At 37.0% G+C, this 16,437-nt stretch overlaps 2 protein-coding genes across 6 annotated transcripts in view; one reads left to right on the forward strand and one right to left on the reverse strand.

Moving 5' to 3' along the window:
• The window catches only part of SLC18A2 (solute carrier family 18 member A2), a 38,317-nt gene extending 35,137 nt beyond the window's left edge, over positions 1-3,180 (forward strand). The window contains exon 16 of the mRNA NM_003054.6: positions 912-3,180. Within this exon, the coding sequence (NP_003045.2) occupies positions 912-1,016 (105 nt within the window). The 3' untranslated portion in view covers positions 1,017-3,180. The remainder of the gene's footprint in view (positions 1-911) is intronic.
• The window catches only part of PDZD8 (PDZ domain containing 8), a 98,167-nt gene continuing 82,753 nt past the window's right edge, over positions 1,024-16,437 (reverse strand). For 2 of the 5 annotated variants that reach the window (XM_005269518.5, NM_173791.5), the window contains 2 exons: positions 13,936-14,098; positions 1,024-9,221 (listed from right to left, as the gene is read on the reverse strand). In XM_005269518.5, the coding sequence (XP_005269575.1) occupies positions 7,018-9,221; positions 13,936-14,098 (2,367 nt within the window). In that variant the 3' untranslated portion in view covers positions 1,024-7,017. Of the gene's footprint in view, positions 9,222-9,443; positions 9,550-13,935; positions 14,099-16,437 lie in introns of those variants that run through there. The other 3 variants (XR_945602.3, XM_011539265.3, XM_047424575.1) reach the window with 2 other exon arrangements.

Consider the following 16,437-nt stretch of genomic DNA (forward strand, 5'->3'; position numbering starts at 1 on the left):
TGCACTATGGCATGAGTGACATTCTGTCTCAAAACAACAACAAAAGATTGTAAGGGCAGCCTGTGAAGATATCAGAACTGGCTGGGTGCAGTGGCTCGTGTCTATAGTCACAGCACTTTGGGAGGCTGAGGAGGGGGGATCACTTGAAGTCAGGAGTTTGAGACCAGCCTGGCCAACATGGTGAAACCCCATCTCTACTAGAAATACAAAAAAAGTAGCTGCGAGTGGTGGTGCACACCTGTAATATCAGCTACTTGGGAGGCTGAGGTGGGAGGGTTGCTTGAACCCAGGAGGTAGAGGTTGCAGTGAGTCAAGATCACAACACCGCACTCCAACCTGGGTGACGAAGCAAGACTTCATCTCAAAAAAAAAAAAAAAAAAAAGAAAGAAAGAAAGAAAGAAAAAGATACCAGAACCAGATTCATGAATGCAAACAATGGAAACGGGTTGTAGTCCAGACTTAGGTACATTTCTCACATGTGAGGGCTTCTCTCATTAAGGAGAGAGCACATCCTTTCAAGGTGTGTTGCTACAATGACGTCTGTAAACAGAAGTTGGACTGGGTGACCTCCAGGATCCCCATACCCCAATTCCAAGATTCTAAGTATAACAAACCTAACCTGCCTGTCCCTTGCTTCATAGAGTATAAGTTCCCAGAGTGGACTTATGGCCCCTGACAGGTATAATGAAAATACTGCAGAGACCACTTCTGTCTCCAATTGCCTGGAATTTTTAGAGTGTAGAACTACAGGTCTTTTAGGTCAGGCGTCTGGCGATTGCTCCAAATGACTGGTTAATAGCAAGTAATACTACATAGTTTTCAAACTAATAATCCTTAAAAACAGTAGGTTAAAACCATCTTATCTTTATGAAACAAGAAGTTAATATACTTGCACTTTGCTCTCTTTTAGGCTATTCTCATGGATCACAACTGCCCTATTAAAACAAAAATGTACACTCAGAATAATATCCAGTCATATCCGATAGGTGAAGATGAAGAATCTGAAAGTGACTGAGATGAGATCCTCAAAAATCATCAAAGTGTTTAATTGTATAAAACAGTGTTTCCAGTGACACAACTCATCCAGAACTGTCTTAGTCATACCATCCATCCCTGGTGAAAGAGTAAAACCAAAGGTTATTATTTCCTTTCCATGGTTATGGTCGATTGCCAACAGCCTTATAAAGAAAAAGAAGCTTTTCTAGGGGTTTGTATAAATAGTGTTGAAACTTTATTTTATGTATTTAATTTTATTAAATATCATACAATATATTTTGATGAAATAGGTATTGTGTAAATCTATAAATATTTGAATCCAAACCAAATATAATTTTTTAACTTACATTAACAAACATTTGGGCAAAAATCATATTGGTAATGAGTGTTTAAAATTAAAGCACACATTATCTCTGAGACTCTTCCAACAAAGAGAAACTAGAATGAAGTCTGAAAAACAGAATCAAGTAAGACAGCATGTTATATAGTGACACTGAATGTTATTTAACTTGTAGTTACTATCAATATATTTATGCGTTAAACAGCTAGTTCTCTCAAGTGTAGAGGACAAGAACTTGTGTCAGTTATCTTTTGAATCCATAAATCTTAGCTGGCATTAGTTTTCTATGTAATCACCTACCTAGAGAGAGTTGTAAATTATATGTTAACATGTTATCTGGTTGGCAGCAAACACTAAAGCCAATAAAGGAAAAACAGTAAATGTTCCGAAAGCAGAGAAAAGCAACCAAACATATTGTTATGAACTAAAAGCTTTCCCTTTAAGATGCATACTTGTCTTACTGGATGAAGAAAATTGAGGGTACATGTACCTTATACTGTCAAGGTTGTTTAAACATGATAAGGTTAATCGCCATCTACTTCAAGTTTTAGAAAAGGAAACAAGAAGCTGAAAACAGCTGCTCTGACTTTAATATCTGACTATATCTTTGATCTGTTTGCAGGTCATCCAAGTGTTTTCTAGGAATATATTTATTTTAGGTTGTCTGAAACTACTATTTTTTAGACTCCTGAAAGTTGTTCACATCAATGTGAAGACAAATTTTAAATGAAAATGAAGAATGAAATTATGTCTTGAATCATATATTAAGAAGTAAAAATAATAGTGATCAGGCAGAAAAGAAAAATGGAACATCTAAAAATGTATGTGCTAACTATATCATCCAGTGTGCAGTGTTGTGTATTTTTCTAAGCATGACAACATTGATGTGCCTTTTCAGTGTAACAGCAAATACTGTTAGTGAACATTGTCAATTTATGTCATTTTGTTAAGAGATATGACTGGAGTGTGCAGTGTGGAATGTCTCTAATACTACTTGTGAATCCTGCAGTTCTATAATCATAAACAAAAATTACTTAGTTTCGTTAAGCTAAGATTGTGTTTGTGTTAACTTCGACATCAAGGAGCAAAGAACTTTAGAACAGACTCCTCAATCTTGTGACTTTCTTATTCTCTAGGAAAGTAACACTTCGTTTCATGAAGCTTTTCTGTGGGGCTTCGATTATTTCAAGTCTGGTTTCTAAGTGCAGTGTGTTTGAAGCAAACGAACTTCCAACTCACTTATTTGGCATTGGGCAACTTGGCCAAGTCTGCCACTTTGGAAGATGGCTCTGGAGGAAACTCTCATATGGCTAAAAAGGCAGGCTAGTTTCTTACTTCTACAGGGGTAGAGCCTTAAAAAAGAACGTGCTACAAATTGGTTCTCTTTGAGGGTTTCTGGTTCTCCCTGCCCCCAATACCATATACTTTATTGCAATTTTATTTTTGCCTTTACGGCTCTGTGTCTTTCTGCAAGAAGGCCTGGCAAAGGTATGCCTGCTGTTGGTCCCTCGGGATAAGATAAAATATAAATAAAACCTTCAGAACTGTTTTGGAGCAAAAGATAGCTTGTACTTGGGGAAAAAAATTCTAAGTTCTTTTATATGACTAATATTCTTGGTTAGCAAGACTGGAAAGAGGTGTTTTTTTAAAATGTACATACCAGAACAAAGAACATACAGCTCTCTGAACATTTATTTTTTGAACAGAGGTGGTTTTTATGTTTGGACCTGGTAATACAGATACAAAAACTTTAATGAGGTAGCAATGAATATTCAACTGTTTGACTGCTAAGTGTATCTGTCCATATTTTAGCAAGTTTACTTAATAAATCTTCTGAACCATGTTTTGTGCCTGTTTGTATTCCTTTATAAACCAAATGTTGTTGGAATAAAATACATAAGGTATCATTTTGACTGTGGATATTTAATTAAAAACTATTTTTCTGTGCTTGTAGGCATCAGGTAAAAGCCACCCCAGGTTAGCTTGACCATACTTTTTTGGCTTTCCACAATTTATTTTAAATTGAGATATGTAACTAGCCACATTCAATGTGGAAAAAAACCAGGAAGTTATCCTTCCATCTATAAACATTGTTGTCCTGATGGTTGTCAACAAATAACCATATCTGATGAAAACAGCTGTAATATCCACCCATTTGACTTAATCCCGGGGGAGTTTGTAAAACCGTTGAAATCTGATACATTTTGAATGGTGTGCCCATGGGTATCTTCCTGCGGTGAAAGTCCACATCTTTAATCAGATCCTAAAAGCGGATCTATGGCCCAAAAGGAATTAGGGGAACCTCTCCTTCTTTTGGTAAGAAAAGCAATTATGTCAATTTAGAAGACAGTATTTTTAAAAGTAGGTATTTAAAATTTATTCACTTTTAGGGGACTTAACATTTTATTATTTATCTTATTTTTAAGAGCCAAATATTTCCAAATTGCTTTAAAAAAAATTCAGCTATACATTTAGAACTTGATAGTACCCCTCAAAATTTTTAGGTTGTGTTTTCTCCTCCCAGCATCACAAAATAGCCACTTATTTCAAGTACTTCTGATATTGAATATAAGGCTTGATATGAAGAAGTATAGCCTATTATGATTGCTAATAATGCTAAAATGTTGCTCAGTTTGTCTAAGCCATTCACTCAGCTAATACTAATGTAGAAAATATATTTTAAAGTCTAATTACTAATACATAGCCAAAGGAAACCCATAAACTTGATAATCCATAAGGAAACAATAGTAAAAAAATGTTTTGGGGCAGTCTGCAAAACAGCAATTTTGTTTAGGAAAAGTGGACTTTGTTATGCTTTTCTGCATGGCCAAATTATACCAGAAGATAATTCCATAGAGATGCAGCAATCACCTTTTTTAAAGATTTCATTAAATGAAGATATTCTTGTTTTCTGTGGTAGTCTTTATTATTATTTTTTAGCTATTGATACATAGCATGGCAGCAAGATTACATCAGTAATGTAATATAATACAGCTTTTTTCATTGAAGCTTTGTACCTTACTATACTCTAGGCTATTTGGAGTGTTCCCCCACTTGCACTAAAGTACAACTATGATGTCTCTACTGCCTCTCCCAGTGAAATATAAAAATATTGCACTACATTACAGATATAGTTTACAAATGTCATTAGCAGCATTACTGAGCTTTCTATAATTGTGGTCTACAGAGTTAAATACTTTTAAAACATGAGTAGATTCTTATAAAACCAAAGTTTTGCATTATTTCAACAGCTCTTTCAAATGCATCAGTTTCAGCAACATGCTTGGGTATCATGAAAACTTCCATGGTTTAATCAATAAACACCAGCTACTTACAAGTAGTCCACCTTCCAGGTTATCAATGGTAAGTTATTTTTTATAAAGTGGTTACACACTGAGCAGATTGCCTCAAGTGTAAGTTATGGAACAATACTTTAGCTTTCAGGGAATTTGGTGTGTAAATTCTTCTATAGCAGTGTTCTTTTAAAATAAGATCACGTGGCCGGGCGTGGTGGCTCACGCCTGTAATCCCAGCACTTTGGGAGGCCGAGGCAGGTGGATCACGAGGTCAGGAGATCGAGACCATCCTGGCTAACATGGTGAAACCCCGTCTCTACTAAAAATACAAAAAATTAGCCGCGCCTGTACTCCCAGCTACTCCGGAGGCTGAGGCAGGAGAATGGCGTGAACCTGGGAGGCGGAGCTTGCAGTGAGCCGAGATCATGCCACTGCACTCCAGCCTGGGAGACAGCGAGACTCTGTCTCAAAAAAAAAAAAAAAAAAAAAAAAAAAAAAAAAAAAAAAAGACATCACGCTTAAATAAGTAATGAAGTATACTGAGATGTTTTTGTTATAAACTTGGCTAAGAAAGGTATTTAGTACCTGAAATTTTCGCTTACTAAAGTAACAAAAGGCATGAGACTTGGCTATTGATTTTTAAAGTGGAATAACTTTTCTCCCCTCAAAAATGTCTTTCTTACTCATATAAATAATGCCTTTTACTTGTATATCTTTTTACTGTTCAAAGCACTTTTGCAGTTATGCTATTGTTTCCCTCACAACAATACTGTGAGGGAGGTAAAGTATTATTATTCCCATTTTAGAGATGGGTCCTTTTGTAACTGCCTATGCTTACACAGTTCATTAATGGAAGGGCTTGAACTTAAACTCTTTTATGGAGTCCTGGAGTCTAGACCTGGGCCCCAGTCCTTAATATTACACCATGCTTTTTCCTGCCAGCAATAAAAGCTGCTCCATCTAGTTTTAAACTCATGTCAGTTTCACTATATAGCAATCATCATAGCAGTTACCTACAAAGGGACAAACATATACTTGTCTATTTTATAGGTATATAACAGACCGAAACCATTAAGGTACCCCAACAACAGTCGAGCTTACTTGTTTTCCCTCAGTCAAATGTTACTGGGACCCGTAAAATGGACCCAGTGTGAGTATATCTTCATTTTCAGAGAACTGGTCCCAATTCCTATGTATGAATACTATTTTTGTCATTCTTTTCTTAATGAATACTCACTACAGAAGTATTCAGAATGATCACCATTCCTTTACAACTGTAAGACGCCAAAGCAAAAAGTATATTTTGCATGATTCCTTTCCTTCACAGAATACTCCTACATGAAAATGTTTTTTCTAAAACAAAACCAGCCCAAACTAGTTATCAACACAGTCATTTTAAAAAGAGTCCTCCAAAACTTTAAATACCCTTTCACATGCTTTATTTCCTATGGGAGAACTGATGAGGAAAATTATCATAAATGTTTAAACTTTTAATTATAAAATTTAAATTTCCATTTAAAAGGAAAGCATCAATATTTTAAAAGATTATATTTCAAAATGCTATGTTACTGTTTTTCAGTAATTAAGTCTTGTTATCCTCTCTACAAAATTCTTGACCAACTGCAATCTACATTTATTTCCTATTACATTGTCTTTCAATGTAAGCTCTTCAAATTAATCACCATATTTTTACCATACAGCTGCACAAAAGCTTTAGAAAAAAATTTCACAGAAGCATCGAAAGCAAGCAATATATGTAAAAAATTTTTTTTTACTAAATCAGCATAACAGACTAAAGCTGCAGCATCTGCTTTCATGTTACATTTGGCAAAAACAAAACAAAAAGCACCCCCAAACCCCCAAAATAACAAAAATCTCAAGCAAGTAGAGACGATAAACTTCATAACACAAAAGAAAGATTCAAAACCTGTTCCCTCAGTGATTGCTGTTGTCAGTTTGGGCATGCAGCAAATTTGTTATAACCATGATGGAAATGAAAATATTTTAAGAATCTAGACAGTATTCTATTTAACACTAATTCAAAAACCAAGAGGAAGAAAAATAACACAAGGGGACACCATACATACATAAACATGAAAAGCTAGCTTACATAATTACATAATTAGAAAAGTTAAATAATTTAGTAAAAATAAATTCCCAGTATAAACCCAAAAAAGCATAGCTATAAATGCAATCCAAAACAACCAATTAGTAAGCTGGTCATGTTTTTACTGGAAAACAACCTTTCTCATTTTTGTTCTTACACAAGCAAGTAACTGGAGAAGCAGGCCAGAGTGCATACGAGGATTTAAACATGGTTGTATCTGTGGTACTTTAGATGCAACTTTACCCTGTTCATTTGAAAGCTTAAATAGACCTGTCTGCTACACAGACTCGGATGGGCCAAATAAGTCATCTGATATGCTGCTGAATGGCTGAGAGTCTATTAGTTGGCTTATTTCATTATCAAGGTCTTCTTCTGTATCATCTGTGTACTTGCTTATTTTTTTGGAGTGCTGGTCTAAAGACAGACTTTCTAAAGTTTCTATATCTTCAATGCCTGCTCTGTAGTGAATCATAAGAAGTGTTAGAGCTTGTAGCCTTTCACCTGATTTAGCTAAGGCAGCAGAAAGAAGTGATTTTTTCCTTGTATCAGTTGTCTCTTTTTCTTCTCTAACAAGGGAATTATTGTGTTCCAACTCCTGATCAATTTCATTCTGTAGCTTATCCAACATGAACTCTAGTTTCTGGATCCTTTCCTCTGTAGGCAAGCCCCTGTACAGATCACGACCAATTTCTTTAACTGCAATGAAAACACTGTCATCCAGACCACCCTCTTTTCTCACTAACTTTATTCCTGTGCTGTTTCCCCGTTTAGAAGGACTGTTTGGACCACAGACCTCCGTGTCACTGCCTTCGTTGTCTGACGTGTTGGGTGTGTGTTTTGGTGAAGGTTCTACGAGATCGGTTCCTGGTTCAGAAAGGCGAGTTTTAGAGACTTGACGCAAATTTAATAAACGAGAACTAGTATTGATAATATGCCTTGTCAAACCTGTTGTTTTATTGACTGACTTGCTAGCTTCAGCATCAACACGAGGAGGCAGGCCTAAGAGGGTTTCCTGTCCTTCCAGCCTAAGGTTTTTCAGTGTCCTGTCTATTCGCCTATCAGTTGCTCCACAAACAGAAGTCTCAGCTAGACACTTTTCTTGACATTTTTTATGGCAAACATAAGCACAAAACATACACTGGGAAGCTGCTTTAGTCCAAACTTTTTTCTTACAGTAGTCACACCATGTTGGGTTCTGGAACTGAGTATCCTGAAAACTGTGTTTGTTTTCTGTTAAACCCATCTGTCCAACAAATTGCTCCTCTTTAGGGAGAACAGAAACTTCTTCAACCAAATGGGGTTCTTTTTCTTTTTCTACGTTAGTAACTACATGGTGGTCTGATTCTCCTTCTTTCAAATATTTGAAGTGAATAGTAATGTCACCATAGCAAAATTTGTCATTGAATCCCTTTTGCATACTCAGATTGCGTAGTGCGGTTCTAGTGACTATAGCCTTAGGTGAGGGGGCTTCCAGTCTCAATTTGGAAAGGTATTCCGTGTTTGATGTAGCTAGGCATCCTAAAGCCACATCTTCAAGTTTTAAACTAACATGCCCCAAACAGATGAGACCTCCCAACTTGAAAGGATCCCTGCACCACAATGCAATGTTTAAGTACCTGTGACAGGCTTCTATGTCAAACAAACAGGATGCTCTGGTTCTTGTCCATTTTCCTAGCTTATTACGATAAAGAATTTCTGATGATTCCCATGTTTGACGGTCGTCCGAACTGTCCTTAGTAGGGCAGGAAGTTTCTGAAGTGACATCTTTGGCCACTTCTTGCTTTGCTAAAAATTGCTTAGGTGCAGCTGCATCGTCTATGGCATCCACATTTTTTGCTTGCTTTTCAGCAGATTTATCTACAAGAGGAGGTGGCACCACCTTCTCTGGCTTTTCAACGAGAACATCTGGTTCTGCCTGATTTGGAGCATCGGCGGAAGGCAAAGGAACTTTCGCTTGTGGTCGTGGTGGCACAGGTGGTTTGAAAGCAGATCCTTGGGTTGGTTTTGACACTTGTGCTGGGTCTGTTATCTCAGAAGTTTTTAGGGGTGGAGGTTTATTTCCATCTTTGGACTGAATTTTCGGTGGTAGTGGGTGACTTCCTACAGCTAATTTACGGTTTAAAACTGGTGATATAGCTCCAAGGGGTTTAATAGAAAGTGTTGTTGGAACACGTTTGGGACTATGACTTAATGATTGTGCCTCATCTTTGAACTCATTTTGTGCTCTGACATCACTTGCCAAGTCTTCAAATTCAGAATCCAGCTCTCTACTTTCAGTATCTACTGTCAACCCGGCAGCTTCCTCTTCATAACCCGATTGGCATGAGCTTGACAAAAAGTTTTCTTCCAACTGGCCAAAGTTATCTTGCAGCACTGCACCTTGATTACTCTGGCCAACAGGCCTTTCATAGTACACCAGGACTCGGTCACCAGCCTGCTTGATAAGCTTCAACACTTGCAGTGTTGATGTGATTTTCACACCTGGTTTAAGATTTTAAAAGGGAAAACATGTAAATTATTGCAATAGAAATTACTACATTTGTTAAATGTATTTAATTAAATATATATAATTGCCATTACCTCTGGTTATTTAACTAATAGAAGAATAATAGGAAAATCTCAACAATATTTTATTTGGCTTTTGGATGAATCAGTGTGCTAATTCTCAAACCCTGAATGTGCTGATATCCTGGAGATGTTTACCTTTTCAAACCAGATGATGACACAGGATCCCAAAAAGAGTGCCAGGATGCTAACTCCTAATTGCTTTCTATCTCTTCTTAGGTTAGATGACATCTCTCAGTTTGAACTGAAGAAGTGAACAGAGAGAGATCTATTTAAAGGATTCTATTAATGGCTAAATCAGACTTAGAGTGAGGGAAAGCTGTGATTCCACTGAAGGAAATTCTAAAATACTCCAGGGATTACAAGACATATGATGAAAGATTCAAATTAAGAGAGCAGTGCTTGAAAATAATGTAGCAAAATACTATACTATGAATAACGTACTTTTACAGATTCTTTTTATCAACCGTACCCATCACATTCATCTTTTTCAAAACCAGAAAGAACAAGTAAGGGATAAACTGCTTTAAAGTTAAACAAGCTGGTTACTATCTGCATCTGTAATATCTACGTTGTTTTTATTTTTCTTATTTTTTAATTGTTACACGTAGTTTAAAATTTGAAAGGTATAAAGGTATAAAAAGATGTACAGTAAAAAATATTCTTTCCACCTCTGTCTCCCAGCCATACTGTCCCTTCCCTGACCTTAGTAGCTTCTAGTGTATGCTTCTATAGATATTCTAGGTGTGTTAGCACTTAAAGGTGCTACTTGTTTCCTGTCACTCTTCCCACACTCTCTAAAACAGCACTTGCCCAAGCTATCCCTTTATGTAGAACTTAGAGAAAGAATGAGAAGGCTCTTTGTTTTCCAAAGATCTTAGGGCCATCCTAAATAAATCTAAGTAACACCACCCCTTTCTCATAACTTGACTTCAGGTTTCCTCAACCTGTGTCCTCTCTTACTTCAGCTGTCTGGGAAGATCAGGCTTTAGACTCGGTCATCACTTGGAACTTGTCCACATCAAAGATCTTTCATTTTCAATTAGTCTCTGATCACAAGCTCCTATTTTTCACCTCTTACAATCCTGTCTGCTCACTACTTTTAGGCAACTTCCCGGCCCAATCATTCCTCTTTTCTTCTCATGGTCCTGTTGGTCTCCTGATACCACTTGCTCTTCTATCCAACCCTGTGTCTCAAGATTACAACGATGTTCTTACCAATATTTTATTTTCTCGTCCTCATGTTTTTTGATCCCCAGCTTTACTAGCCCCACTATTGCCCTTTCCTGCTCTTGAGCTTGCCGCTTGGATCTAGCATCAAGTTAGCCATCCATCTTTGGCAAGGTGTTCAGGGCTGCTTAGCATTCTTTTGATCAGTCTGTAAACAACTAAGTCTCTCAAACATCAGCTGTAAATCTTTCCTGTTTCCCTAAAGTCTACTCTCCCTACTCTCTTTTACTCTGTGCATGCTATCACCTTATTTGCCAAAAAGATCAATATGAAGCTACCTTTTCTCCCTACCATCATTTTTAGTATTATCTTACTTCAGAGGAGAAAATATCCCTCTATCTGTATACTTACTTTGGATCCAATCCTCCTGTCTCCTTCCTGACTTTGCTCTATCAATTATCCTTAAACTTTTTCTTCCTTTTCTTTAAAATTTTTCTTTTTCTTAGTTTCCACAACACTTTACACAATTGGTTCTGATCACCTCTCCTCTAGCTTCTTTTTCTCCACCTATACCACCTGCACCTTATATGCAACTGTTACCAAAGTTTGCCACTAGTTCTCTCACCCTTTTTTGCTCTCTCCCTGGTAAATTACAGCCACTCCAGTAGTCTCAAAAACTATCAACTTTTTCTTTGGTTTCCCTTCTTCTTCACTTTAGTTCTACATTCCCAACTACTGGACATCACCACCTGGATGTTCCTTTGGGACTAAATATTCAGCAGAGCTAAAACCTTTCTTTGACTGTCTCTCTGTCCTCACTACTATCAATCAACTTGCCACTCCCAGTTAACTCAATTTGAATCCTAGGGATATTTGACTCCCTAGAAACATTCAGCTGTCAACTCAAACTTGTGATTTCAGCCCATTTTCCTTCCCTGTTCAGATCCTCCTGATAACTGGCCTTCACTTTAGTAATAAACAGCTTTTAACTGCAATCTCTCACTCAGACCTTCCCTACTTTAAACACCAAACATATTGCTACGAAATTTTCCTAAAGCATTTGCCCCTTTAGCCTACAAACTTATCACATGGAAATTCAGAGCTTTCTAATATGGTGCTTCATTATTTATCTAGCTTTAAGTTCTACTACGTCCTTCTAACCATACTATGTCTCAGCAAAATTATAGTTTGACATATGCATAAATGAAAAATTAGTCCATCTAATGATCTACAGTAGGCAAAAACTTCAACTCAATCTGAACTCATTTTTTATGACTAAAAATCTGCCCTCGTCTCATCTATTCCTCAGTCATCAGGTGTTTTGTGGAGATGGCCATTGCAACTCTCTCTCAGGAATACACCATTCAAGTCTGGATTTTTCTTTTGGAATATTTCAAACACACTCAAAAGCTGAGGAAACAGTAAAATGAATTCCATTTTGAGCTTCAAATATAATATTTTGCCAATCTTATTTCAACTATCATCAATTATATACCCATATAAATGAATCAAAGCGATATAAAAATGTTTTGAAAAATATCTGTTGACATGGGGAAAGTTTACAACATGCTAAAAGAAATAAAGACTATTACAAAAATGCATAGTTTAGAAATTTTTGTTTCCTAAACAAAAATTGGGAAAGGCATATATTTATGTACAGAAAAAAACAAACAAACAAAAAAACAAAAAAAGAGACATACAAAAGCTTTTCTGTTATGTTCCAAGGTTTTTCTTTTTTTTAAAACAATGAATGTGTATTGTATCTGCCCTTCATCTTAATACATATTATTATTATTATTTGAGATGGAGTTTCGCTCTTGTTGCCCAGGCTGGAGTGCAATGGTATGATCTCAGCTCACTGCAACCTCTGCCTCCCAGGTTCAAGCAATTCTCCTGCCTCAGCCTCCTGAGTAGCTGGGATTACAGGCGCCTGCCACCATGCCCAGCTAATTTTCATATTTTCAGTAGAGATGGGTTTCACCATGTTGGCCAGGCTGGTCTCGAACTCCTGACCTCAGGTGATCCACCCGCCTCGGCCTCCCAAAGTGCTGGGATTACAGGCATGAGCCACTGAGCCCGGCCTGTTGTTATTGTAATTAACAAATGTTAGATGTCAAGGGATGACTTTTGCTTTTTCACTCTGTATACATTTATATCGCTTAGGTTAATTAATTTATTTTTGATAATAGGTATTTACTACTTGTGTAATTGAAACACAACCCCCAAAAAAGACCGAAAAAATTAATTTTATCCTGTAGCTAAAACCAAAATATTAAATGATATTAATATAATGAATGATGTCTATTTTATGCCTCCCTAAGTGTTTATGCATAAGCATCATCATTTGGGAGGAGTCTGTGAGAAATGAAGAATCTTGGGCCTCACTACAGGTCTCCTGATTCAGAATGCACATTTTAACATCAGGTCTGGGTGACTGGCATACATGGGAAAGTCTGAGAAGCACTGCTTATGCCATGATCAGAGATTCCCATGTGAAAATATTGACTTAATTGGGCTCCCAGATATGCAACTAAATAATTTTCATTATTTTATTGTCAAGGTGGATTTGAATCAAAGGCAGAGTTTCTTTGACATGTAACCAAGGACAACTGCACCTTGATTTGGGAACTGTTCTAACTTATTTATTGTCTAAGCTGTGAAAGAAAATATCACATTGCCCTTTTCAGATCAACTGTGACCAACCATATGTTCAAGAAATCTCTCAACAAGCCTAGAATAGATGGGACAGGTACTACAAAGGTTGAAAAGGCTTGGACTTTCCCCTCACTGCTGTGCACAGTGAGTCCTACTGCTTAGACATTTATATACAAGCAAATAACCTGCTATCTTCAGAGAGTTTTTACTGTTAACAATCCAAGTGATAGGAAGGCATGTAAGTGACACATTTTTCCACCAGTGATTTGGGCTGAATTCTGAGCAACAACATACTAACAAATGGCTGGCCATTTAGATGACACAGGATCACAGGACAGTTCAGATGTGCCCTCCTGGAAAAGGAATGTTGGTTCTTCTGCTCATCATCTAGTGCTAAGTGATGGGGGCAGTAGTGCTAATACTACCAATTTTAGGTTCAGAGTAGCAATGGTGGTAGTCGTACAGAAAGATAACCTGTTTATTTGCCCTTACTTTCACATTCAAGAAAAAATAAATAGAGTAGTAGAAGGTGGGAAGGGAAGGATTAGAGTGGTTATATAAAAGTGGTCTAAACAAAGTATTTTAAAGATTTATACACTAGAACTAAAATGGCATGTATGTTTTAAATGTATTTTGAAGGCCTCCTTTGAATTTTTATTTATAATAAAGTTTATTACTTTATTTCCATTATAAAAGTGACATATGCATATTATAGAAATAAGGAAAAAGGAAGAAAGGAAAAACCTCACACCTACTTTGTAGTTTATCTGTAAAGGTAAAGTATAATGCATATTAGCATAATTACCTCCAATGGCGATAAGTCGATCTCCCCGCTGAAGATCTGCAATTGCAGCAGGCGAGTTTGGAGCCACAGTTTCAATGATGACGTGCCCAGCATACCCATCAGTTGACTGGACAAGACGAAGTGTAAGTCCAACACTTTGTAAATTTCCTTTTATTAATTCAACCTTTGATAAAGGGGAAAAAAATGAAAACTGATTCAATGGATTCCTAGTAATAGAGGAAAAAAACAGTAACAGACTGTTATGTGCAGAGAGCACCATGGCTGATGCTGACTTTTCTATCATGGCAAATAAAGGAAGGAGAAAATCTTTACTGTAACAATATAAATTAACTATCCTTAGGCTACACATTTAAATCATCAAAAAAATTAAACACTTTATCTTCAATGTGTTTTATTATTACTCCTTGCTCCATGCTCATTGTAGAAAATTGGGAAATAAACAGAAAGGCAAAATAAAAAGAAAACCATTCCTAATTATACAATCTAGAACTATTCTATATATTTTCTAATATATATTTAACACAAAATTGAGATTTGTCTCAATAATACTGAGACATAGTAGTCAATACAATTATAATCATGAATATAATTCTGAATCTTGCTTTTTTCAAATATAATGAAAATGATCTATGTCATTCATAATATGTGCTTTGGAAACTCCATTTTGTATGGTGTATCCTTTTTTTTTTTTTTTTTTTTTTTGAGACAGGGTCTCACTCTGTCACCTAGGCTGGAATGCAGTGGCACAATCCTGGCTCACTGCAACCTCCACCTCCCAGGCGCAAGTGATTCTCTCACCTCAGCCTCCCAAGCAGCTGGGACTACAGGCGTGCACCACTACGCCTGGCAAGTTTTTGTATTTTTTTGTGTAGAGATCGGGTTTCACCACTGTTGCCCAGGCTGGTCTCAAACTTCTGGGCTCAAGTGATCCGCCCACCTCAGCCTCCCAAAGTGCTAGGATTAAAGGCGTGAGCCATCCCACCCGGCCAGTGTATTCTTCAAGTTTCTTTTTTGGGAATAGGCAAAGGAAAAGAGTTTACATTTATACTTTATTAAGAGTTATCGGCCGGGCACAGTGGTTCACGCCTGTAATCCCAGCACTTGGGAGGCCGAGGTGGGCGGATCAGGAGGTCAGGAGATTAAGACAATCCTGGCTAACACGGTGAAACCCCGTCTCTACTAAAAATACAAAAAATTAGCCAGGCGTGGTGGCAGTGCCTGTAGTCCCAGCTACTCGGGAGCCTGAGGCAGGAGAATGGCATGAACCCGGGAGGCAGAGGTTGAAGTGAGCTGAGATCACACCACTGCACTCCAGCCCGGGCAACAAAGCGAGACTCCACCTCAGAAAAAAAAAAAGAGTTATCATGTGGTGGGGATGATGGGGATGGTGGTGCACACCTGTAATCGCAGCTACTAAGGAGGGCTGAGGTGGGAGGACCATTTGAGCCCAGGAGTTCAAGACCAACCTGGGCAACATGGTGAGACCCCATCTTTATTTAAAAAAAAAAAGTTACATTGTTAATGAGATGTCCTATTCTAACCCATCAAGATCATTTTGTTTTCTAAATAAACCTGCCATCCAATTTTCAGGAATGTGGATACTAGATTAACATCATCTGTGAATTAACAACAACATCATCATGCTATGTGTCCTCATTCAAACAACTGATTTAAAAAAAAAAAACAGGCAGAGTGCTACATCCCAGCTGTTGACAAGGATTCAATTAGTGTTTATGGCGCTCAATTACAAATCAGTCTAATTGTATTATTCTCCAGTCCACATTTCTTAAGTCCTATTCTTCAAGGATATCTCATGAGGGACTTTGCCAAATACCCTAATATCCAAATATATCACTGGCTGCACTGCTTTAATATATAAATCCCACTTGGACAGAAATTCAATTTTCCTACCTAATGATATTCGCTGGTAAAAGAACCCTCACTGGAAGTTGCTCTTTAATTTGGGTGTTAACAAATTTTGTAAAGTTATTTTAAGGAAAATCTTAATCATACTGTGCTCAAGAAATGGGATATGTGGTCAAATTCTGAATTACCTAAAGGTTTACAAAACACAAAGCCCCGCCAAAACACGTAATTTGTGTTTAAATCTCCTAAGACATTTGTCCAATCCCTGCCTTATGACACAGCAATTAATCACCTTACAATGTAAAGTGCTGTACACAATTAAGGCTTTTAACAAAACCCTTAACAACATATTCTCTCAAATCCAGGAACATAAATATATTCTTAATATACAGATTGCCAAAGCTGAAATTTAGAATGTAAGTTTTTCTAATTGCAGGAAGCTAATGATAGCAAATGGGTAGAAAACCTAAACAGTGTAAGTCTGAGTACTGTAAAGTTTAAAAATTAACACCTGCATTTGGAATGTGTTTTTTTTTTTTGTTATTTACTCTGCTTTTAAAAGTAGAATGGAGATTCAGGGGGTAGGATTAGGAAGTGAATAGAGGCTAGTGTAAGGTGTTAGTGTAATTTAGTTTC

This window comes from Homo sapiens, chromosome 10 (assembly GCF_000001405.40).
Source record: "Homo sapiens chromosome 10, GRCh38.p14 Primary Assembly".
Classification (NCBI taxonomy): domain Eukaryota; kingdom Metazoa; phylum Chordata; class Mammalia; order Primates; family Hominidae; genus Homo; species Homo sapiens.